This window comes from Homo sapiens, chromosome 10, assembly GCF_000001405.40.
Source record: "Homo sapiens chromosome 10, GRCh38.p14 Primary Assembly".
Lineage (NCBI taxonomy): Eukaryota > Metazoa > Chordata > Mammalia > Primates > Hominidae > Homo > Homo sapiens.
In genome coordinates this window covers 47,361,609-47,384,741 of record NC_000010.11, presented here as the reverse complement: position 1 = coordinate 47,384,741, position 23,133 = coordinate 47,361,609, and the positions used below count along the sequence as shown (strand labels likewise).

Here is a 23,133-nt window from a genome sequence, read left to right as displayed (position 1 = left end):
CCGTGGGGGTCCTCGGCGCAGACTGGAGCCGCAGGCACCGCGCGCAGCCCTCGCCCGCATCGCCGAGGCCCCGCGGGCCCAGGAGCGAGAGGTCGGGCGCCCAGGACCAGAGGGCGTAGGCGAGAGCAGGCACCGCCTCCAAAGAACGCCCTCGCCCTCCCGCAGGCGATGGCGCCCGGCCCTGACCAAGCCAGCTGGGGGCATCTCCGCGGAGCTGAGCCGGGGAAGGGCCGGGCAGCCCAGAGGGTCAGAAGGGGGTTTTCTCCCGGGGTTGTGAGTTCTTTGGCCAGCGGCACCCTCCCCTGCCGGGGCCGCCCACCCGCAAGCCCCGCCCCGAAGGCTGGAGCTTCCCTGGGGGTGGGCGACGCCGAGACCACGCCCCGAAGGCGGGAGCGGCTTGGGGGCGGGATCTGGCCGCCCTCAGGGCTCCGGCGCCAAGTTCAGAGCCACGCGCAGTGCTCTTGGCCGGGAGGAGGCTGTGCTGCACCAGCACCTCTTGCTCCACATCTCCAGAGAGCCCAGGTGAGGCGCACCCTCCTGTCTGCAGGGACAGAGCCGCGAGCGGGCGCGGGCGGCGGGGTCCATCTCACTTCCACATCAGCCTTTCCCCAGGACAGGGTTGTTGAGTCCTGCCTTTGACTGTGGGGTCCTTTCCTTCCCAATGTCGCCAGCTTCCTCTCTCTCCCACGTCGTCTCCGAGTCCCATCCCCGTTTCTGTTCCCTTTCTCTTCTCTCACTTTTTCTCCTCTATCTCTTCTTTATTGTCTTCCTGTTTTCATTTTCTTCTGTGTCAGTCTCTCTCCCTCTCTCTTTTCCTCTCTTTGTTTATTCTTCTCCCCTACCTTCTCCCTCTCCCCCCTGTTTTTTCAGCACTCAAGAATTCTGCCTATGAATTTTTCTCCTAGGGTGACTTTCAGGCTGCAGTTGTTTTCCTCCCTCCCACTGTCTCTCCCGGGGTTTATCCTGTGTTGCTGTTATTCTCAGCCCGGGCTTGCGCTGGGCAGTAGGGTAAGAACCATGCATCAGCCCCAGATCCTTTCTCCAACAGATTATATCCAAAGATCTGGACATGTATCCTGTTCACTGCCTTTCCTGGGAAACAAAACAATACCAAATGATCACATTATAATGAGTTTTTAGAATGAGCTAAAAGAACATACCTGGTTTTAGAGACAAGGGGTTGATTGAATCCTTTCCTTGACATTTTGCCTTTACTAATAGACACAGACAGCACAGCAGGAAGCTAAGCCTTGCAGAAGCATTTAGGGGGCGTTCCCACCCACACCTGCCTTCTGGGCAGGCTATGCAATGCCAGGTGCAGGGGAGGGAGGGGACAGGATTCAGAGCAGGGTTGTAGGAAGACAGTGGGAGGCCAGGGCTTTGAAACATTTGAGGGAGCCTGGAAATAAGAAATTAACAGTAAATTTCTAAAATATGTAGTTGCCAATGCCACTGATGTACAGAAATGAAATTAATTACTCCTGAGGGAGACATTAGACATTTTATGGCAGTAATTATGGCATTTGAAAGTAATGATTTTATGTACATTAGATAGGAGGGCCAAGGGGAAAATATTTCCTGTTAGTATCAAAGATTGTCGTAGATGCATAAGGGACGAACTCTAGAAAATCAAGTCTCATTCTTTTTGAGGGATAAAATAGAACTATATCGAGGCAATTTTTTGTTTCTTGGTTACAATGTAATCTTATCAGAGATATGTGATTTAGTTTTTAATGATATTTTATGACACATACATATTTATATGTTCAAACACACACAAATACATAATATATATGCACTAAGTTATAAAAGAGCCCTTGTTTGTTTGTAAAGATCTTAATTACCAATAAAGGTTGAAGCTTTCACTTCTTGGAAATAAGTTAACATGATATTGTAGTTTATTATGACCTTTAATGAAAATTCAACTAATTTACTTTTGATTGATACAGAAATGGAAATTTGGCCGTAGATAAATCACACAGAATTAAACAGAAATTAAGTATGATGAAGGTGCATTGCAGTGTGTTCAGTGAAAGAATTTGCATATGCTAGATATTTTGGACAAATTCATAGGTATGTGCATGGAACTGTGATTTGTGAGGCTTTTTTCTGGTTTAAAAAGTTAAATTGCCTTTATATCTAATCCCTGATCCCCAACATATGCGGATTCTGGGGGGAGGGATAAAAGACTTTGCAAATGATTTAGAATCATCGTGTCTGCTTTGCTTGGCAGATTTCTTTTCAGACATCCAAGAGGTGGCAACTTTTGTTTGAAACATATAATCACACCAATTATTTAAAAAAAAAGACAAACTTAAATATTTTTAAACTTATTTTTCCTCATTAGTGGTCTGTGCCTCTATAAGAACATCATTGTCTTTTTATCCTTAGATGATGCTATTGTTGGAACCTGGGAAGGTCGGAAGGAATAGCTGAGGTAAAATCATGGACTTTTTGCCTGAAGGCTGCCAGTGGAATTGGGACCACTGTCTCAGGCTCCACCTTTATTCTCTAGTTGTATCAGGAAAAGAGCTGCTGTTCCTTGTGCTCTTGCTATCTGGCATGCACAGAGCCCTGTTGAGTCCTGTCCGTGAGTGCCTGAAGTGAAGATCACCATTCTTGTTTTACTTATGAAGAGATGGAGGCCCAGAGTGTTTGTCTGAGCTCAGGCAGGTAGTGGCAGGGTTGATTTGGAACACAAGTAGTGCCCTGGCGCCTGAGTGACCAGGGCTAATTCAGTCCCTTTATGTGACTTCCATGTTGCTGCAGCCCTGGCAAATATAACGTCTAAAATATCACTCCACACAGCACCAGCCACTGCCTATTGGCATTGTTTGGCAGAACACTGCTCCCTGTTCTATGTCCTGGCCATCCTCAGTCATATTCATGGCAGACTCTCAATCTGCACAGCAGGGCCCCATTGAAGCATTGGATCTGCCCTCTGCTTTCACTGGCCCTGCTTCTGCACAGTCTCAGACATCTGAGTGGATGATGAGATCACATCCACCCCTATGAGGGTCGACGTGGCCAAGTTATGTTGCACTAGGGCCACTCTCCCTGCTTCCATGGGTACTGGCTGTGTTCGCAGTCTCCTGCACTTGGCTTTCCTCGAATGCAGCAGGCATTGCTGCTAGAGGGGTCCAGGCGTAGCTGGCCACAGAGCCTGTAGGGGCTGACCAGGAATTGCTCATCTCCCCAGTGCCACCAGCCAGCCTCTGGGAAAGCCTGGATCACCTTCAGTGTTTAATTTCCTCAGTGTGCCAGAGCCAGGAGGATTCCTGGAAACAGGTGTATTCCCTTTCTTAGGAAACCCCAGGACCTCACAATCCAAATGCAGAAAAGGCCCGTAGATGATTGTCCTCTGGAATCTTCCAAAAGGGTCTGGGAAGCTTCTGCAGAGACTAGGGATACCAAAGGATTAGAAGACAGGAGGTATTTTCTGCTCTTGTGTGTTTTAACTGAAGAGAAAAGCAGATGCAGCAAAGCACTGCTTGGGGGGAGCGGGTGGGGGTACATGGTGTCTCTGAATAAGATCTGGTGCCTGACCTGCAGCTCAGAACAGCTTGAGGCTGGCCAGTTGGCTTGGGTTAGGGAGTGACTTCAGACATCCCAGGAAAAAGAGGTTATCCAGATGTTTGCCAAGAGTTCTTTCTTCTGTAGGTGGAGCAGGAAGGAGAAAAATGCCCAGGCTGTTTGGTCATTTATTAAACACTGTTATGCACTGGTCCCTGAGAGCTCAGGAGTAATGGGAAGGCTGCCATGGAGTGGACTCTGTCCCTTTGCACTCAGTGCGATAAGAAGTGATACCCCTAATGTTTACTGAGCCAGGTTCCTTAGCACTTTCTCTATATTAATCCTTCTAATCTTTCCCACAACCCAGTGAAGAAAACACCAAGGTGACCCTCTTTATAGATCAGAAAACAGGCCTGGAGGGGACCCACGCCTTGCCCAAGGTCACAGGTTGGATACAGCAGAGCTGGCCTCCAACCGTGGAGCCCGTGCACTTAACATCTATTTGGATGGAAGGCTCGAAGGTTACCTGAGACAACCTGGTCAAGGTGATAATGTGGGAGAATGTGGCCAGTGGTTCCCAGATGAGTGAATGATCAGTGTGCAGTCACCAGAGGATGGGTGATAAACCGAGAACCACAAGCTCTTAACACTGTGGGGTGGGCGAGGCTTCATCTCCCAGGATGCAGCACTTGCTGAGTTGGGCAACAGGGGACCCTGGTTGATGGCCCAGGTTGGTTGGAAGCCTTTGGGAGATGTGCTCTGTGTTGGTGGGGAAGGCCAGGCATGGTTAGATCCCCTGTAGACTTGGGGAGCTCAGTTTCAGAAAGTTTCAAAGATCATCACTTGATTTCTGTGATTCACGTGATCTGAGGGCTCTGAAAGTGGTGGGTGAGTCCTGGAATTAAATCTGTTTTTTTCAAGTAGGAAAGACATGGGGTGGCAATGAGAGACATCTGTGTGGCTCAGAAAGATGTCTTGCTGAGGTCAGAGGGACAAGAGCCAAGGAGAACAAGAGGAGCCCTTCCCAGGACACTCACAATGACAGAGTGACGAGGGCCAGTAAAGAGTGTCAGGGGGTGAGAGCCCGGGTGTGAACTGAACCTACTGAGGAGAGCTGACGACCACAAAGCATCTTTTCATATCATGTTCGGAGCAAGGAGAACAAGGGCTTCATAGATCCATCGCCGTCTAGGGCAGCTGGTGTCTGTGAAGGGGAGGAAGGCACAGCTCCACTGTGCCCACAGCGGTCTGGACAGAGGAGGATCTGCAGGTGCAAAGGGCGCAGGCAGGTTCCCGGAGGAAAGCAGGAGCCACGTAGCGTGGGCTGCAGTGTGTGTGCTCAGGGCTCTGACCAAGAGAATGCCCTGGCCAGGGTATAGCATGACCTGGAATGAGATACCCCCATCTGAGGTGCTGTCTGAGAGGTGTTGGAAATGAAGCCCGGAGGTGGAAGAGACTCAAATCTGATGTTGGCCCTGGGAAAGATCCTAGACTAAGAAGAAGGCTGTGAGTCTGTGGGCAAAGGAGAGACGTGCATGAGGAGCTGGCGGGGGCTCCCTGGGGACAAGTCATGCCAGCCTCACGTCATTTTCCACCTTGCAGGTCTTCGGTCTGGCCCTTGTTCTGTTGGGGTTCTGGAGGACGTGCTGTGCCCTGGCCTTACTGACCTTACTCCATGCAGTGCTGATGCATGCGACAGCGGTGACCCTCCAGGGTCCCAGGTGGGATGAAAGGTCCCCAGCTAGTTCCTAGTTTCATCTCCTCATTTTCTCCATCCTCCTGCTCCTTCTTATTAAGATCTGGATGTTAACATTGATGGAGTGTGAAGCTGGGTGGGATATTTAATTCAGCAGTTGGCGGTGTCAGGATCCACAGTGGTCTCTGAAAGCTGAGATGCTGCCCTGAGTTTATCGGGATGGCATTTGGCAGATTGGAGATAAGTGCATCTGAATTGAGACACATAGCTTCCCTCATATGGTTTTTATGAAAATGAAATGAACAAGGTGCCTTATTTCATTTGTTAATACTATTGTTTGTCATGTAGATACTTACGTAGCCGATAAATGGTAACTTCTATTCTGATACCCTGAAGCATCCTGATAGCAAATGTTCCATCCTGCTGTAAAGGAGAACTGGTTTCTTCCAATTAGTCATACATGAGTAGGTCTGGGATGGCCTGGAGAGACAGCTTAGCCAGAGCGCATTTTACAGATGGAAACCTGAGGCTCAGAGAGGTTGAGTGCTTTGCTCGGGAACACAGAGAGGAGTGATGTTTCTGCCTCTGCCTCTTTGGGAGACACTGGCCGACATTCACCTCTGACGTCAGGCACCCCCTCTGAGGAATCCACTCAAAAAGGGCATCAGGAGTGGTGTGGAGCCTGCTGCACCACGTGGTTTGCGTCCTCTTCATGAAGTCACACGGGGTGGTCTGCAGGGCAAGGCGGGGTGGCGATGTTCCACAGGAGCTAGTCAAAAGCTTGTGACAAAAGGGAACGTGAGGTTTTATGTTCACTTTTCTTGCTTTCTCTCTGATTTATCCCATGCTTTCACTCCATGAGAGGGTTGGGCTCTCTGTCTCATCTCCTTGAGAGCTCCTGCAGGAAGTGGCTGGACGCAGGTACATCCTTTCATGGCTGGGCGGGAAGCAGGGAGAGGAAGAAGCTGATTTGGCCCAGGCTATATTTATGCATAGCAAGCCATGGAGGCTCTCATCCACTCCTAGATTCTCCCTGAGCCCTGGGATAAATATTTTCTAAGGATGAGAATTCTGGAATGCTGAGTGGAGTCTGGTTCTGCCAGTACCTCTCACCAGTGGAGGGGGCACTTGAAGAGCTTGAGTTCTAGTTTCCAGAACTTGAGGGTGGGGCTGGTGAGAGCGGGTAGGGATGAAGGCATCCCAGCAGGGCTGATACCACCTCCCCATGGGTGCCACCTTTACATGTGGTCAGTGCATGTCTTCCCTTCCACACCGTGGGCACTTCCAGGGTGAGGCTGAAAGCTGGTCCATCCATGGAGGTCCAGTTTGGCACAGGCAGGCAGTTCGCGAAGCTCTGCCAGGGGAGCAGAGAAGCGAGTGGATCCATGTGTGGGGAGAACCAAGAGTGAGCACTTCTGGCGAGTGGAGATGAGGTTACACATGCTCTCTCTAGGGGCAGGGCCAGGTGGTGGGGTGGCAGCCCCTTAGTGTGGGGGTGGGGGCCAGGCACAGCCAGACCCATCCTGCCAAGCCTGCATGTGCATTGCTCCAACTTTTGTCCTTCTGTGCACCTATGCCTACAGATCCCCTGTCCCCAGGTGCCTGAAGTGGCCTGGCACTCCTGAGGGTCAGGAGAAAAAATGAGTATGGCAACCAGCAAGGAAGGAAAACTGCCCTCAACCAGGGTGCAAACACAGTCGAATTAAGTCAGAGCTGGCAGGCAGAAGCCCTGTGTGCTCTGTGAATGTGGCAGCTGCTGCTAGATGCTGACAGGTGCAGGGGCAGGGCTGAGCCGGCGCCTCCGGGTGGCAGCCGTGTGTGTGTGTGTGTGTGTGTGTGTGTGTGTGTGTGTGTGTGTGTGATTGTTATTGCTGGCTCCTCTGGGTGGCAGCCATGTGTGTGTGTGTGTGTGTGTGTGTGTGTGTGTGTGTGAGATTGTTATTGCCGGCATCTCTGGGTGGCAGCTGTGTGTGTGTGTGAGTGTCTGTGTTTGATTGTTATTGTTCTGTGAGAGAGTCCTGGAGGTATAGTGCTCTGAGCTGAGGTGAGTTGTCACATCCATAGCAATCAGGATTCTTTGGATGCAAACCACAGCGATGGACTCTGGCCAACTTTGTGAAGAAGGAATTAATTAGAAGGTTATGGTGGCAGGTAGATCACAGTGTCAGAGGAAGAACTGGAGAAATAAGCTCAAAAAAGACCGGGATTGAGCTATTCAGAGAGTTCCAGTACCAGGCACACATAAGCAGCTTCTCAAACTGAAACTGGGTTTGGTTAGGAAGGATGCTGAGTAGCATAAAACAGAACCAAGCCATCTGACTGCTCTTGTCGTAGAGATCGCGTATTCCTCCTTTCCTGTCAGCTGGTTTAAAAACCTGGGGCAAAGGGGGACCCTGCAGTCCACCCCACTCTTCCTGAGATGCCCTGCGGGGGTTGCAGAGATAGATCAAACACAGGCTGTCTCTCCCCAGGGACCAACAGTCCAGTAGGTGATAGCGGCAACACTGACTATGGCCAGGCAGGCTGCTGAAGGTGGTCTCTGCAACCCGAGTCAGCATGGCAGCCCTGACGGTGTTTTGGTGTGAGCAGCTCGCAGATGCAGCCCAGTTGTTTTGCTTTCTGGGCTGCTTCTTGAGGGTCACCTCAAGTCTGCACACAAGGGTAGAGCTGCAAGCTCTGGAGGGAAATAGCACTGGGTTATAATTTCCACTGGAGGACATCTATAATTTCATGTCTCTGAGTGTGAGTTTGGCCACAGGCTCCTCTGTAGGTGTCTGCACGGGAACCAGTGAGGACCCTCAGGCTTGAGCCCCCATTCTGCTGGATCTGGTGGTCTGGAAGGCTGGGCATAGTGTGACTGCCTCAGCCCCTCCATTTGTGCTAGGGCTGGGGGAGAAGGAGGATGGGGTGGGGAGTTCTCTGACTTTGCACGGTGGGAGTACACCCTTCTTGGAGGATATGAGTGCAAATGGATGTCAAGGAGCCCAGAGCTCTTCAGAGCAAAGAGCTGGGCAAATTCCTGGCTCCCACTCTAACTCTCTCTCCTTATTCTCCCATACCTCCCTCGGCAGGGTTGAATTTCACAATTGGGTCTGACCTGGCTTAGTGTGAATGAAAAGTGGTCGTTTACAGGAATCCTCTCTGTCTCGCTGAATTCCTGCCCCTCAGTCTTTTCCTCACGATTGAAATATACCCAGCCCTTCTTTTCCACTAGGACTTTGCCTGTGCCATCTTACCATCCCTGATTGGTGAACTCGTATTCATCCATCAACACCCAGAGATAATATCACCTCCTCAATGGGACATTCCTCAGGCACCCCAGGCAGTCCATGGTCCATCCCTGATCTTGAAGCATTTCTCCCAAACCACTCAAGTGGGCTTGTCTCCATCCCAGGTCCTGTTACGAAGAGGTGTTTTTCTCTCTCATTGCATGTGGAGCAATACTTCCATGCTATTCATCCTGTTATCACAGAATAAAAGAACGACTGTCTCCCCTAAGAGATATGGTGTGGGTCCCTGTGGCTAGACCATGTGATCTTACCCATAAACAGTCCTCACAAACACTCTCGATTTACGTCTAACCCACTCTTGTCACTGCCTGGCATTCGCGTGTGCCGTTCTTTCTGCCCTCTCTTTTCTTTGTATCTGTCTGCCCTTTGGAGGCCTCCTGCCTCTTCCAGGAGGGTCTCTCTGATTATTCTGGTGCCCAGAATTAGAAAGTATATGGGGTACATGCTGTGGTGTGTGGTAAGTGTTTAACAGCTGGTTCTCAGCATGTAGCTGCAACATGGATTTTGGGTGATATTTTCATTTACAATAAAGTGTAAGATGAAAGTGGAACAATGAACATATGTCAGAACTTCACTTGTTTGTCAGTGATCTAAATAACTTCTTTCCTAAATCACATAATAGTTTCGGAATACTAGAAGAATAGTCCCTCAGCTTTTTGTGAGCTATTCACAATATAACAGCTATCGACAAGACAAAAATTTCAGTTTAATCTGCATTATTGACAATTTTTTTCCATTACTTTCTTAAGTCCAGACAATGAACAAAACAAGAAATCAAGCCTTGATTTATAGCATTTCCATAAATAATCCCATTCTGGCTGATTCCCTGATTTCTGGCCACTCACGATATCCCTGGATGTGGCATGAGGAGGAGTGGACCGTGGCAAGCCCCCGCACCGGCAGGTGGAGCAGCGTCCACAGCGTAGGCAATGGGAATGTGTAGTAGAATGACTAGGAAATGATGGGTTCTGAGTATGTATTGCCTGTGTTTTTAATATAACTTCTTTGACTGTAAGTTTGTATAGTTTAGTTTTGAATAATGTCTGAGTTAAAACAGCTAACTTGAAACATTCCTGATCATCTCACAAGCCACTGTGAGCTGGCTCCAGCACACCACTGGCTGCATACCAAGAAAATCAAGTTGCAGGCAGAGACGAAAACCTTCAGACAGAATTGCGTGGCTGTGTCCACTCAGTTTCGTCAGGGGGTGAGCTTTATTAAGTGCCACAGTAACAGATACTGTCATTGGTTCAGTCAACAACTGTTTCTAACCCCATCTCACTTGGCTTTCCTGCACTGCAGAGGTTGGGAAGCTAAATCCATGTTTCCCAGACTCTTTTGCAGCCAGGGTGCAGGCCTTTGACACAGATCCTCACAAGCAGCCAGATACATCACCCAGCCCCGGATGTGCAGTCGAGTCCCATGAGCTGAAGTCTTTGGCATGCAGGTGATATCTGTCACTCACGGTGGCAGGGACATCTGGACTTGTGGGGTGGCTGTGGTGGACTTTGTAGGAGTTTGGTCCCTTGTGATTGGTGCTGGTACCAGCAGTTTCTACTAGACAGTGCCAGGGCATGGTTAGGCTTTTTTTTCTGGCTACCCTGACCCTTGGAGAGCTCCCAAGCTTGGTCTCTGGCTCTCACAGGGATTTAATGAGCTGCATGATAGCCTTTAATAAGTTCCTTTCTGTTTAAACTACCCAGGTAGAGGCTGCTGTCTGCAGGTGGGAAGCCCTGATTGCTGGAACCTAAGGGATGTGAGAAATCACTGTGGAGTGTCAAGGTAACCAGGGATCTGCTCCTGGGACCTATTAATCCACCTCTTTTAGAAGGAGTCCACAGTCCTGTTTGTATTTGAATATTCATGAACATTAGAAGAGCAACTTAGTCTGGGTATGGCTATGGCTGACAGAAGTATCATGCTGTGTCACAGCTGATTATTAGATCTGCATTTTTTGCCCTTTAGCTTGTCAAAATAATGTCTAAAAAACCAGATTGATCACAAAAGATGCATCATAATGCCACATAAAGATGTCACTCGGCGCCTTATAGTATTTAGGACCATAGAGGACACCTGGTGCAGCCTCCTCATTTTGCAGCTGAGCAAGATCTTTGAAGGACAAGGACCTGCCCAAGGCCATCTAGAAACACTGAAGTTGAGACTCATACCCGAGCATCTTAGCTTTTGCCCACCCCACGCTGTTTCTCAGTCTTAACCAGCAAGCTTTCCTTGTTATTTTGGTTTGTCTTACGTCTAGGTTTGATTTGGCAGCACATTTCAACATCTGGTGAAGGCATGGGAATAAAACAGTGTAGGTGGATGGAGCACCTAAGAGCAGAATGTTTGGTGTTCTCTCAGGGTACACTGGGCAAGGCCTGCTGGGCCGTCCTTCCTCGCCATGCTGCCTGCGTTTATTCAGTTAAGAAAGTGGCACATTTTGTATCTTTGAGAATGCAACTATTTTAGTTAGGAGAGTGATGTTCCGTCTATGGAAGACTTTGCCTCTCTCCATCTTGGGCTTGGAGAAGGTGTCCCATGTCCCAGCAGCATGGCTGTGTACAGTCATTGATTCTTTTGTTTACTTCTCCATGCCGTACATTTTGTTCCTGTCCCTTGATCACAAAGAAATAAATGAACGTTCCTGAGGCACTGACATGGGCCGGGTGAGGTGGGAGCCTCCTTCTAGATATTATTATCCTATTTAAATGCATTATGTTCCCACTCATTTCACGATTGCCCAGTATTCAGAGAAGTTGCATTACACAACTGAAGCTCCATAATAAATGCGTGGAGGTGAGATTCAAACCCACGTCTTTCCCATTCTACTTTTTGTGCCTTTCTGTTTTAATTTGCTTCTTGGTATTCCTGTGTATTATTAATAGTCTGAAGCTTGGAAATAGATGCAATAGTCATTAGAGTGAAGAAAATACAGTGCCGTGCTCTCTGAAGGATAACAAGGACATTTTTGTTGTAATTACTATTTTGATTTTTCTTTTAAGAATGTTGCCGAGGAAGGAAAACAGAGGGAAAAACCAGCAAAGCTCACTGTGTCTAACTTTTGCCACATGCATGGACCTAATTTCTTACTTGCCAAGCACTAGAGCCTTTATTTTTGAGACTCTGTGAGGGTGGCTGAGTTCTGTGTGTTTGCTGGGGTTGGAAAAATCTAGTGTGATGGGGGTCAGTGGCCCCATGACACGCCAAGGCAGAGTAAGCCACAGAGCTCAGTCTGCCATAGGTGTGGCTTCCTTCCTTCCTCACATCTGTGTCAACACCCGGCAGGAGGTGCCTGATTCCAGTGGGGATGAAGCAGCCTCTGCCCATCCCTCCATCACCCATCAAGAGCTCTGGACACACATGAGGTTGAACCCCCAGATGGTGGCTGCCAGGGGAGTGTGTCCACCTCTCACTTAGGCCAGGTGCGTGGCATCTCACTGCGGCAGGCATCCCATGGGCGAGGTCGGTGCTCTCCTGATGTCTTTGATATTTTTCTTTATCTGGCCTAGTCTGAGACCAGTACTTTCCCCTGCCTGTGACCCCTGACTTCATTTGCAAAGTTTTCTCATGCACTTTCTGAAATTTTCATGACAGAGAGCCCTGGAGGAATTTGGGGCAACGATGGAGGTGGAAGAAGGTTTAAAGCTGGGAATCTTTATGCATTTTCTCTGTTTTCTCCTTCTCTTTATTTTTTTTCTTGACCTATACTTCACACTGGTCTCTGTCTTCTCCATGCTTAGAAAGCAGAGGAGGCTTGAGCTTCCAGCAAAGACCTTGCGACATGTTACTGGATACAGGCTGGTGCATAGAAGGGGTGGGTGGGGAGGGCTGACAGGAGGGTGTCCCTCCCCTGAGCATCACCGGCTCTGTTCTTGGCCAGTTGCTCTTTGTCCCCACATTTCAGGTTCTCTTCCTGCATTCAAGCATGGGCAGGGCCAGGGCTGCTGTTTCAGGACTGCATCTAGCCCTGAAGTTTTCTCTGGGCCTCCACAGGGGACCTTCCTACTCTGAACTCCACATGCATTCTCCAGGCCACACTGCACACTCACCCTACTCTCCAGTCATTTCCAACTACTTAGAATTCAGTCAGTGTTGAGAGTCACCAGTCTTATGTAGACTGGAGCCTGGCACATAGTAGGTGCTTTTTGCATGTTTACTGAGTGAATGAATGAACAGAAAATGAAATGCACTTTGCCTAAAAGCTGATCTGATCTGATCTGAGTGCCCAGGCATTTCACCCTTCTTCCAAAGCTCTCCTTTTGTTCCTGTGGCCCAGGGAATGCTCAGTTCCAGGCTTGGCAGAGGAGGGGTCTCTCTAGGCAGTGTGAAACAGACTGTGAAGCCCCCATGAGAAATAGTCCACCCACTGGGAAGGCCCCTCCGCTCCCAGGAAACTCCAGCCAGAGCACTCCAGCGTGGGGGCTAGGACTCCTCTTTTCCAAAGGAGAGTAGACAGTGGGAGGAATTCACCTCAGAATGATTTCCTGGAGCAGTTAGGAAAGTAGCATCTCTGAAGTCACAGAGGCTTCAGCTCCACTGGGCCGTGAGAATCCCTTACAGAATTCTGACCCCGACCAAGCAGAAAAGGGCACTGCCGCCTTTAAAACAGTTGACTGCAGAACAAAACAAAATGCTAAAATAAGACTAGAGTAGTTTGAAAATATTGGAAAGTTGAGAAAAAACTCCCCCAAATTCCATGATACTAGCATCATCATAGTATATAGCACATTACATATATAGTGTATTATATGGTATATTATGTATACATACTATGTATACTATATGTTATATGGTGTATGTACATAGTAAAAATTATTTTTCACATATCTATTGCTTTGGTATGTTTTCTTTCATGTTTTTGTTTATTTGGTAGATAGGCTTTTTTCCTGTTTTGTTTTACAACATGTTTATATCTGACACTAACATTGTATTATAAGCTTTTTTTTCCCATACTATTGCGTAGTCTTTATAGCCACACTTAAAAAATGAATCATTTATTTCTAAAAACAGTCAGGTCCATTTTATTTTGGCTTCTGGATCCTGCCCCTCCCCGGGCACTCTCCCACTGCAGAACTATGTTAGGCTCAGTTCCCCAGAGAGCCCTCAGGTTTTCCACACCACAGGCCCCATGCAAGCTTCTTGTGAACCCTGGGCAGTCCCTTCTGGGTCCTCAGAGCTCAGTTTAGATGCCACCATTGCCTGTTTGCAACACTGGCACATGTGCAGGTCCCTGTGTTCTGTACAGCTGAACTCAGGACTGCCTCATCACCACTGTCACTACCGCGCCTCGCACAGGGCCCGCATGCTGCATGCTCTCAGTGAATGCTTGCGGAATGAACGGAAGAGGGAATCAATGAACAAATGACCTGGTGGTCATTTTCTGTGTTTCCTCCTGGGGTTTTTCCTTTGGTGTATGCATTTTGTGTGTGTGTGTGCATAGAATAGGTTACACCAAATCTATAATCTTTTTGTCCTTTTGCCTCCTCAGCATTCGTTCATAAGCATAGCGAGCATCACTGTCCGAGGCTGCACAGTGCTTCGTCTTGCGTATGCATCCTGCTTTGTTCACCATGTCTCTGGAGTTACGCATTTACTTGCTTGTTGCTTTCACCACTATAAACCATGCCTCATTTCCCTCTCCTGTTAGGCAGATCTGACCCTTCAGCCTGCCTCTTCCAGCCATGGTCAGACTGTTGTTAGTCCAGCGCCTGAGGGAGAGTACTTTCAGAGTTCCAGGCCCTTGTGTGACCTCCACCCTTAAGGTGACTCTTGGCACCCACAGGCCAATCAGCTGTATTCTTAGAGAGCTCTCAGAATACAGGCTGGTGGGCTATTTCCCTAAGGAAAAGCTGGGTGGGTTCTCACTGGGGTTGGAACCAAGGGGAGATGAGGAAATGGGAATAGGTTGGACGCCCTTGGTGGAGCTTCATAGTTTGATTTTACATCAGAGTTGGAAAGCAAAGCATACCCTTCTGCTACAGCTAGTGGTTTCCCCACCTGCGCCTGAGCTATGGACTGGGCAGGGGCCAAGTGCCCAGCAAGGAGCACAGGGAAGGAGCAGGAGGTGGAGAAGCTCAGAGGCAGGCTGCAGTAGGCTCCTCGCCCTTCTCACCATGCGGATGTCTCCTCCCTTGGCCCTATGGGAATATGGAGGGCTCACATTCTCCTCTCTGTGCAGGAGCAGGTCTCCACACTCTTTGGGAGGAGGAAGTTGACTTCTTTCTAACAGTTGCTGTCCTGTCATTCATTCATTCATTCATTCATTCAGCAAAGGCTTCCTGAGCTCCTGTCCTGTTGCAGGCTTGATTAAGTACTACAGATGTGAAGGTGAATTGACATATTTGGGTTCTTAGAGTTTGCCTTCTAGCAGACCACAAACAAGTAAATATAATGTTGCACGTGGTGCATGCAGGCCTTTGGTGCCCAGGACAGTGAGGGCATGGAGGAGGGAGTGTTGTCTGTGTCTGAGAGCACTGGGCAAGCCTCAAGGGGAGACTGTGCCTGAGGTGCATTTTGGAATGAGTTCACAGGTACGATGGGAATGAAGCTGCCCACATGTACTTGGGAGTTGGGGGAAGAGTGGGGACACTTGACTCTCACAAGAAGCATGGCTCTGAGAAAATCAGAGACCGCGCAGAAGCTGACAGGGCATGTGATGTGGACAAAGGGGCCACCAGGCTGGGAGGCAGGTCTGGTAGACCGAGGAGCAATGGGTTGAAATTAGGGTCGGGACAGAGAGGGCTGCATGAGGAGCAAAGACCATGAAGTCCATGGTCCTCCAACACTGCGACCCTCATGCTGCGGCCTCCCTGTGCCCTCAGCACTCAGCCAGGGCCAGAGGTAGCTCGAGCATGGAGCAGGGGCTGAGGGTGCATGGCTTCCTCATGATGGAGTCTACTTGTTGACAGATGACCCAGAAACTTCTGAAGGGCCCCCAAGGCCCTAATGCAGCCCCCAGAGCAGGCTCTTTCCCTTCCCCTGCAGACTCTCCATTTCATGCCTGGTTAATCCCCAGGAACCACTTTTGACAGGGGAATCCTACGTTTCTCTCTACTGAGCTGTAGAGGCTGCTGCCCATGGGCATTTTCAGCAGAGACCTCAGTCCCTACTCTGCCTCAGGGAGGTGGGCCCTGGAGGATGGTGCCATCCATGCTCCTTGTCTCCTGAGAGGTGGTGCAGTCAGCACACCCATCCCACAGACAGCGGAGGAGGCCTGAGCATCAGGGTCCTGTCTGATGCCAGCTCATGATGCACTGTGCCTGAGTGATGAATGCCCATCTCACTGCCTGTCGCTTCCTCTCTCTGCAGGGCCCTGTGGCCGAGTGTGTCCAGCCCAGTGTCATGGGGAGCTTCCATATCTCATGGCTCCTTGCTGGGCCAAGCCCTCCAGAACCCCAAACCCCCAAAGACTGATGAATGCCAGAGTGGCCACCTTGCTTATCTGTGGCCCCGGCCCTGGTGATCACCATGGCAGCTGGGAAGGGAGCCCCGTTGAGCCCATCGGCTGAAAACAGATGGCGACTTAGCGAACCTGAGCTGGGCCGGGGCTGCAAGCCAGTGCTGCTCGAGAAGACGAACCGCCTGGGCCCTGAGGCTGCTGTGGGCAGGGCGGGCCGGGATGTGGGCAGTGCGGAGCTGGCACTGTTGGTAGCCCCAGGCAAGCCCCGACCTGGCAAGCCGCTGCCCCCGAAGACACGTGGAGAGCAGAGGCAGAGCGCCTTCACGGAGCTGCCGAGGATGAAGGACCGGCAGGTGGATGCTCAGGCCCAGGAGAGGGAGCACGATGACCCCACAGGCCAACCTGGTGCCCCACAGCTGACCCAGAACATCCCCAGAGGCCCAGCTGGCAGCAAAGTCTTCTCTGTGTGGCCCAGCGGAGCACGAAGTGAGCAAAGAAGCGCCTTTAGCAAACCAACCAAGCGACCAGCAGAGAGGCCTGAGCTAACCTCAGTCTTCCCTGCAGGGGAATCTGCAGATGCCCTGGGGGAGCTGTCTGGACTCCTCAACACTACAGACCTCGCTTGTTGGGGTCGACTTTCAACTCCCAAGCTTTTGGTTGGTGATTTGTGGAACTTGCAAGCATTGCCACAGAATGCTCCACTCTGTAGCACTTTTCTGGGTGCCCCTACACTGTGGCTGGAGCATACCCAGGCCCAGGTGCCCCCACCCTCATCATCCTCCACCACTTCGTGGGCCCTCCTGCCACCCACCCTCACCTCCCTGGGCTTGTCCACCCAGAACTGGTGTGCAAAGTGCAACCTGTCCTTTCGCCTAACGTCCGACCTGGTCTTTCACATGCGATCCCACCACAAAAAGGAGCATGCGGGGCCTGACCCACATTCTCAGAAGCGGAGAGAAGAGGCCCTTGCCTGCCCTGTGTGCCAGGAGCACTTCCGGGAGCGCCACCACCTCTCCCGGCACATGACTTCTCACAGCTAGCAGGTGACCGCAGAATGACCTGCTGGGTGCAGCAGCCAGCCTTTGGCAGAGGGGGGCTCCCTGGGCCTGCGTTGAGGGGGCTGTCATGGTCCTTTGCAGAGCTGCTGCTTTTGGCATTCATAGATAAACAGCTCAGGCATAATTTGAAAAAGCCACACCTGCATGATGTGTTTTGAAGGAAATGAAGTCCTGAAATAAAGTGATGGGCTTTGCAAATCCAGGGTAGAGGCCCTAACAGGCACAGAGAGCAGGGGCAACTCCTGGCACACATCATGGGCTTTGGAGGCACACAAGCCTGGATTCGAATCTGGGCTCTTTCACATACTAGCTGTGACCCTGGACAAAGAGCTTTAACCTGCTGAGTCCCCATTTTCTCATCTGTGAAATGGAGATGATAACACTGTGTCTTAGGTTGGCATTCAGGTCACATGAAAGGTGTGTGGAAAGTGGCCAGCATTCTGCCTGCAGACCCTGAGCACTGAGTCAACAAGGTTTGTGATGATGTCTGTACTAGTTAGCTATTGTTATTAACAAGATCTCCATGGCAGACAAGCTAAAGCATCTGCCTAAGTCGTGAGTCTGTGGGTTGGCTCAGGTTAAGCTGAGCTTGGCTGGGCTTGGCAGCAAGTCTCAGATTTGATCAAGTCATATTCGTTTTCTTCTTCGGCTGGTGGGCTACCCAGAGCGAGCACGCTTCTCTCGTGGTCATGCCAAGAACACAGGAGGGTGAGTCTAACAAGCACACCTCAAGCCTCTGCTTGGGTCACATTGCCAATGTCCTCTCAGCCCATACAAGTGGCAGGACCAGGCCCAATATTAAGGAGTGGAAAAGTGTAGGCTGCCCTTGGTGAAGCTGTGACAAGGGAGTGACCATCCATCCCCTCCACAGGAGGGTGAGGAATTGGGACAGGTAATTCCAGCCAATACCTGGTCCATAGTTCTTCACATTGTGAGTATATGAATACGGGGAAATAGAACCCCCTCCCCACCACCTACACACATGCTGTTTTACCTTCCAAGAATAGGACATGTGCAAAAACTAGGCTTCCAGATCGTGAGGCTGGGGAGCATTCTAGGTACCATTTATTATCTACTGCGTTTCGGTCAGTAGCTGTTGTAGGTACCCGCATCAGCCCTTGTTCCTAAGGATGTGTGGAGCCCAGGCTGTACTCTTTGACATTCCACAGGTCAGTCTGCGTGAAAGCCCTTTGTGGGGAGTTTCCAAGCCAGTGTCGTTTTTGCACTGGTTTCCACCTCACTGTCAGATATTGTTCTTTTGATATGCAGTTTCCAGCCCTCCAATGAGTCCCCAGCACAGATCTCAGGCTTGTGGCTGGGAATAAGCCCAGCTGAGCAGGTGGGGATCTCAGCCAGCCTCCCAGACTGCACCTCTTCTATTGCTCTCCTCTGTCCACCGTTCCAGGCAGCAGCACTCCCACCTGGCTGCTCTGATGTCCTCGCTCCCTCCATTCCTGCCTCTCACCATGCACGCATCCATTGTCCACACACACACAACCAGATAATCTTCTGAAAGTGTAACTCAGATGATGCCTCCAACCCTGTGGCTGCCCTTCACACTTACAGGCCTAACCCCAGCAGGACCTGCCAGCTGCTTCATGAACAAGTCCCTGCCTCATGTTAATTGCAAGCACTCATTTCACTCTCCCTGTGTGCCAGGCAATAGCATAAGCACTGGAAGAATACAGATGTTATAGTGAGTCCTACAATAGCCCTGGAAGGCAAGAGCTGTTTCCTTTCCATTTCTACAATGAGTCAATTGCAGATGATGCTATAACACTTCCAGTGTTTCTGACACTTCCCTGAAGCTATACCTGCTACCTTCATGGGCCGAGCTTGCCCTTATGAGGCCCACAGGTGGCAGTGGGCAGAGGGGACCCCGCTATACCACCTCGCTGCTGTTCCACTGTCTGCTCCCGTGTTCTGACCACAGCTCTGGTGCCGTTTCTCAAGCCTGGGCTTCATTCAACATTTTCTATCTAGCTCTTCATGGTGCTGCTCCTGCTATGGTTCCACAGGGCTTCTTCTCGCAGGTCAGCTCCTTAGAGAGGTCTCCCAGATTCCCCGTAAAGCAGCCCTGCAGCCTCTGCCTCTCTCAGCCGCATCACCCTGTTGCTTCCTTCACAGCATGTCTCACCATCTGCAACCATCTTTCTGTTTGTCGTCTTGTTGATTTGCTGCCTCCACACTGTCAGCTCCTTGGGAACAGAGATTGGTTTGTTTACTGTGCATCCCTGGTGCCCAGAACAGGGCATGGCATATTGTTGGTGCATAATAAATATTGTGGAAATAATTTCTGTGTGAGAAGCTGGGTCTGAATATGTGTGCAATCTTCCTTTGGCTGTGGAGGGTTGCAGGAGGCTGCCATGCAGCTGGAAGGCTCCATGTGTACTGAGCTTCCTTCACCTACGCTGTCTCCCTGGCCAGGCAAGGGATTGAGTGAGTGGGTCCATTTCCATTCATTTATTCAGCATCCCTGGGCACTTTGAGCTGAGCCTCAAAGGCAAGTATGTGCCGGTGATTTGGTGATGCAGGCAGGGGAGCAGTGGCTGAGGAGAAAGATCAGTCCAGAGTCTGCAATTGTGTCAGGGTGTGAGGAGGAGATGGAGGGGCAGGGGTAGGAGGGCCTCACGGGAGAGCGGTTTGGACCGAGGGGACTGAGGGCTTGGCTCGGAGAGGCACTTTGGGGGTACTCTCCAGCTGCAGTGGGGAGCGTGGCCTGGAGGAGGGGGCCTGGACCCCCTGAGCTCATTGTCTTCCACATCTAGAAGAGGGAAGGGTGCTCCCTGCAGGTGCCAATAAAGCATCATCATTCCCAAAGGGACACTGGGAGGTCCCTTGCTCACTAAGACAAGACAAGGAAAGCTCAGCCTTGCTGGCCCCTTTAGGTGCTGTGTGGGGGTGTCATTTACACATGGAGAGGCTGAGCACAGAAGGCAGCTGAAGCTATGGGAGCCTCCCCGTGTGCTGTCTCAGGTGAGGCAGGAAAGGGCAACTCAAGGTCTCGGCATGAGGCCCCACACTATGCACTTGACACGCAGCAGCCAGGAGGCAGATTGTTATTAATAATTCCCACTCTGCTGCAGATGACATTAAACTCCAAGAGGTCAAGAACTTTCCTAAGACCATGGGCTCAGGAGCATCAGTGCAAGAATAAGACTCCAGGACCCCAGATTGAGCTCATGTCCTTTTTAGCCTGCCACTTGTCTGCCCAGCCCAGTGTGGTTGGATGATTCAGGAACTGGGACAGCAGCAGGTGTAGGCTCCCTGTCTCAAATTTCAATTCACACCTGCTACTCGTAAACACACACACTTTCCTATCGTCCTTCTCCAGCACTTTCACTATCTTGCATACTAAGTCTTTGACTGATTTGTCTTGCTTACCGTGTCTCCTATCACTAGAATGTAAGCTCTGTGAGGGATTTTTGGTGGGTTTTTTTTACCTGCAGCATTGCTGGCATCTAGAGAAATGTAGCCACATAGTAGGTGTTCAACAGACATTTGTCGAATGAATGAATGAGTGAGATGCCTGGTTCTGGCCTGGCAATTGCCACAACTCAAATCAGCTTCTCGGGAGGGTTTTAGGATCTATCAAATGCTGTGCACAATTGTCCTTCTCTGGCTTAATTGATTGGTTTGTAATTTCTGTGAAATCTCTTTGAAAGGCAGAAATGTGCCAAGACATGATAGACACTTAGAACTGAAGGGACTTTAGATTTCTAGACCACACCCTCCCTGTACAACATTGGACTTTGAGGTCCACAGACATGAGCTGATGTGCTCAGCGTTGCAGGGCAAGTGGTGGTGAGGTCAAGTTTAGAACCACTGAGAGGTCTGGACCTTGCCCCATCCACAATCCATGAGGAACCTCAGCTAGGCCAAACGACAGTTTACACTGCATGTGATTAGAACGGCCTCACATGTAATTATTAGTAACCTTGACCAGTTACACCATTCCCAAGCAGGATAGGCATTTAGGAAAATTTGAAGTTATGAAAAACAACACACTATCTTCCCCCAACTCTGATTTTTAAGTTGGAGTTAATTTTGGTAAAAATGGATGTAGATCCAAATTGCTCACAGCCTGCCATTTAAATGGACAAACTCAAAAGTGATTCGTGGAAGTGATGGGTTTACAGCTTGTTAATATTGCAGTCCCAATTATCACCAGGCTGGGTTCCCAGAGTCTCTTTGGGAGTCAAATCCTCTCTTAGCCCTTCTCCATTTCTGCCCTCCTGTATCTCCTGGAGAGTAGACATGTTAAATCATGGTTTTGCTCAAGCTCTCTCTACCACTTCTATGGTCTGAATGTTTGTGTCTCCCAAAACTTATGTAAAATCCTAACCCCTGAGGTAATGGTATTAGGAGGTGGGGCTTTTGGGAGGTTGGAATTCGTGCCCTTACAAAAGAGGCTGGGTGCAGCGGCTCATGCCTGTAATCCCAGCACTTTGGGAGGCCGAGGCGGGCAGATTATGAGGTCAGGAGTTTGAGACCAGGCTGGCCAATATGGTGAAACCCCATCTTTAGTAAAAATACACACACACACAAAATTAGCTGGGTGTGGTGGTGGGCACCTGTAATCCTAGCTACTTGGGAGGCTGAGGCAGGAGAATTGCTTGAACCCAGGAAGCGGAGTTTACAGTGAGCCAAGATTGCACCACTGCACTCCAGCCTGGGTGACAGAGGAAGACTCCGTCTCGGGAAAAAAAAAAAAGAAAGAAACCCCAGTGGCTGGCTGCAGTGGCTCATGCCTGTAATCCCAGCACTTTGCGGGGCTGAGGTGGGAAGATTGCTCAAGGACAGGCATTTGAGACCAGCCTGGGCAACATAGTGAGACACCCCCTCTACAAAAAATACAAGAATTAGCTGTATATGGTGGTGTGTGTGCCTATAGTCCCAGCTACTCAGGAGGCTGAGATGGGTGGGGTGGGTGGGGGAGTTACTTCAACTCAGGAGTTTAAGGCTGCAGTGAGCTATGATTGTGCTACTGCATTCCAGCCTGGGCAACACAGTGAGACCCAGTTTCTAAAAAATTAAAATAAACCGCAGAGACCTAGTTCCCTGCTTCCACCATGTGAGAATGCAGCTGAAAGTTGCCATCTCCCAACTAGGAAGATGGCACCAAACACCAAAGCTGCTGGCACCTTGATCTGGAACTTCCGAGCCTCTAGAACTGTCAGCGATAAATTTCTGTTGTTAATAAGTCATCCGGTTTATGGTATTTTGTTATAGCAGCCCAGATGGACTAGGCAGTCACCTTCTATATGCCAGTTAAGAGTTGGCATGAGATGTTGCCACAATGTATCACATCAGCAGGTATTAATTTTACAATCCTGGGCAAGAATTACCACATTCCTTAAATTCTCTATGTCTAATTGAATCGCTCAGCACCCCATCCTGTGGGCCTGGTAAGATACTCACCCTGTCACTATTGAATTCCTAACCTGTCTCTCAAGCTCACAAAAGCTCCTCAATGCCCCACCTCAAGATTGTACCCTGTCGCTTAGTGCCCCAGGGTGTCCCCTTGCTGTTCTGGCCAGCTTTGCTTCTGTTCTCCACTCTCCTAGGATCTAGGGCCTTGGTGGCTTTCTGGCAAAGCTGTTGGTAGGCATGTGACACGAAGACACTGAGTCGATGAGCAGAAAGTCTTGGCTGACCTTATGGAACAGAGGAGGAAAAATATCCACAGTAGCTGGAAACATGGCAAATTCTATCTTAATAAATTATCTCCCAGCGGCAGCCATTCAATTCAGATTTATAAAAGTCCTCAAAATATGCTAATGAGGCTAAACTAAGACATTCTGAATTCAGATTCATTTTGGTTCTCGATTTTAACAAATGTCAAGTTTTCTTTCTGTTTTTACCTGGGAAAGGAGTAAAACCACTACAATGGTGGGCTCCTAGAATTCAACTTCTTGCCAATTCCTGCATCTCTAGGCCAGGGATCCTAAGCTCAAATGTCTATTGAAGTAGGCTAATGAGTGGATGGAGCTGCCTGTAAGTGGCAATGGTGGGGAGCTCAATGCCTGGGTGAAGACTGCACAGCCAGGCTGGATGCAGGCCTCGAGAAAGGCCAGAGTTCAGGTCTTTATATGAAATTTGTTGTCAACTGACACAATAGTTTTGCAAACACTGATGGCCAAAGTGACATAGATTCATGGAAGCATGTCAGTGGTGGTG

The 23,133-nt window shown here is 49.8% G+C and overlaps 1 protein-coding gene across 10 annotated transcripts, besides 3 other annotated features; it reads left to right on the top strand.

Annotated features, from left to right (window-relative positions):
• Positions 1-480: a silencer, noted in NCBI's record as "silent region_2354". NCBI's record gives its function as "represses an Ori minimal core promoter by ATAC-STARR-seq in GM12878 lymphoblastoid cells {active_cell/tissue: GM12878}" and the evidence as "EXISTENCE:reporter gene assay evidence [ECO:0000049][PMID:35858748]".
• Positions 1-542: a biological region, named in NCBI's record as "H3K27ac hESC enhancer GRCh37_chr10:48354663-48355162".
• Positions 43-542: an enhancer, noted in NCBI's record as "H3K27ac hESC enhancer chr10:48354663-48355162 (GRCh37/hg19 assembly coordinates)". NCBI's record gives its function as "activates a minimal SCP1, AML or CMV promoter by ChIP-STARR-seq in primed H9 embryonic stem cells {active_cell/tissue: H9 hESC(primed)}" and the evidence as "EXISTENCE:reporter gene assay evidence [ECO:0000049][PMID:30033119]".
• ZNF488 (zinc finger protein 488) lies at positions 449-19,246 on the top strand. 10 transcript variants are annotated; one of them, XM_011539244.3, is made up of 6 exons: positions 449-522; positions 2,392-2,437; positions 3,881-4,058; positions 5,116-5,234; positions 10,203-10,281; positions 15,805-19,246. In XM_011539244.3, the coding sequence occupies exon 6, from the start codon at positions 15,913-15,915 to the stop codon at positions 16,933-16,935; it is 1,023 nt and encodes a 340-aa protein (XP_011537546.1). In that variant the 5' UTR covers positions 449-522; positions 2,392-2,437; positions 3,881-4,058; positions 5,116-5,234; positions 10,203-10,281; positions 15,805-15,912; the 3' UTR covers positions 16,936-19,246. The 10 variants fall into 10 exon arrangements, with proteins under 10 accessions (XP_011537546.1, XP_047280521.1, XP_016871132.1 ...); XM_047424565.1 differs by lacking the exon at positions 10,203-10,281; XM_017015643.2 differs by lacking the exon at positions 10,203-10,281 and having other exon boundaries at positions 3,881-5,234.
• Positions 19,247-23,133: the final 3,887 nt, after the last annotated feature.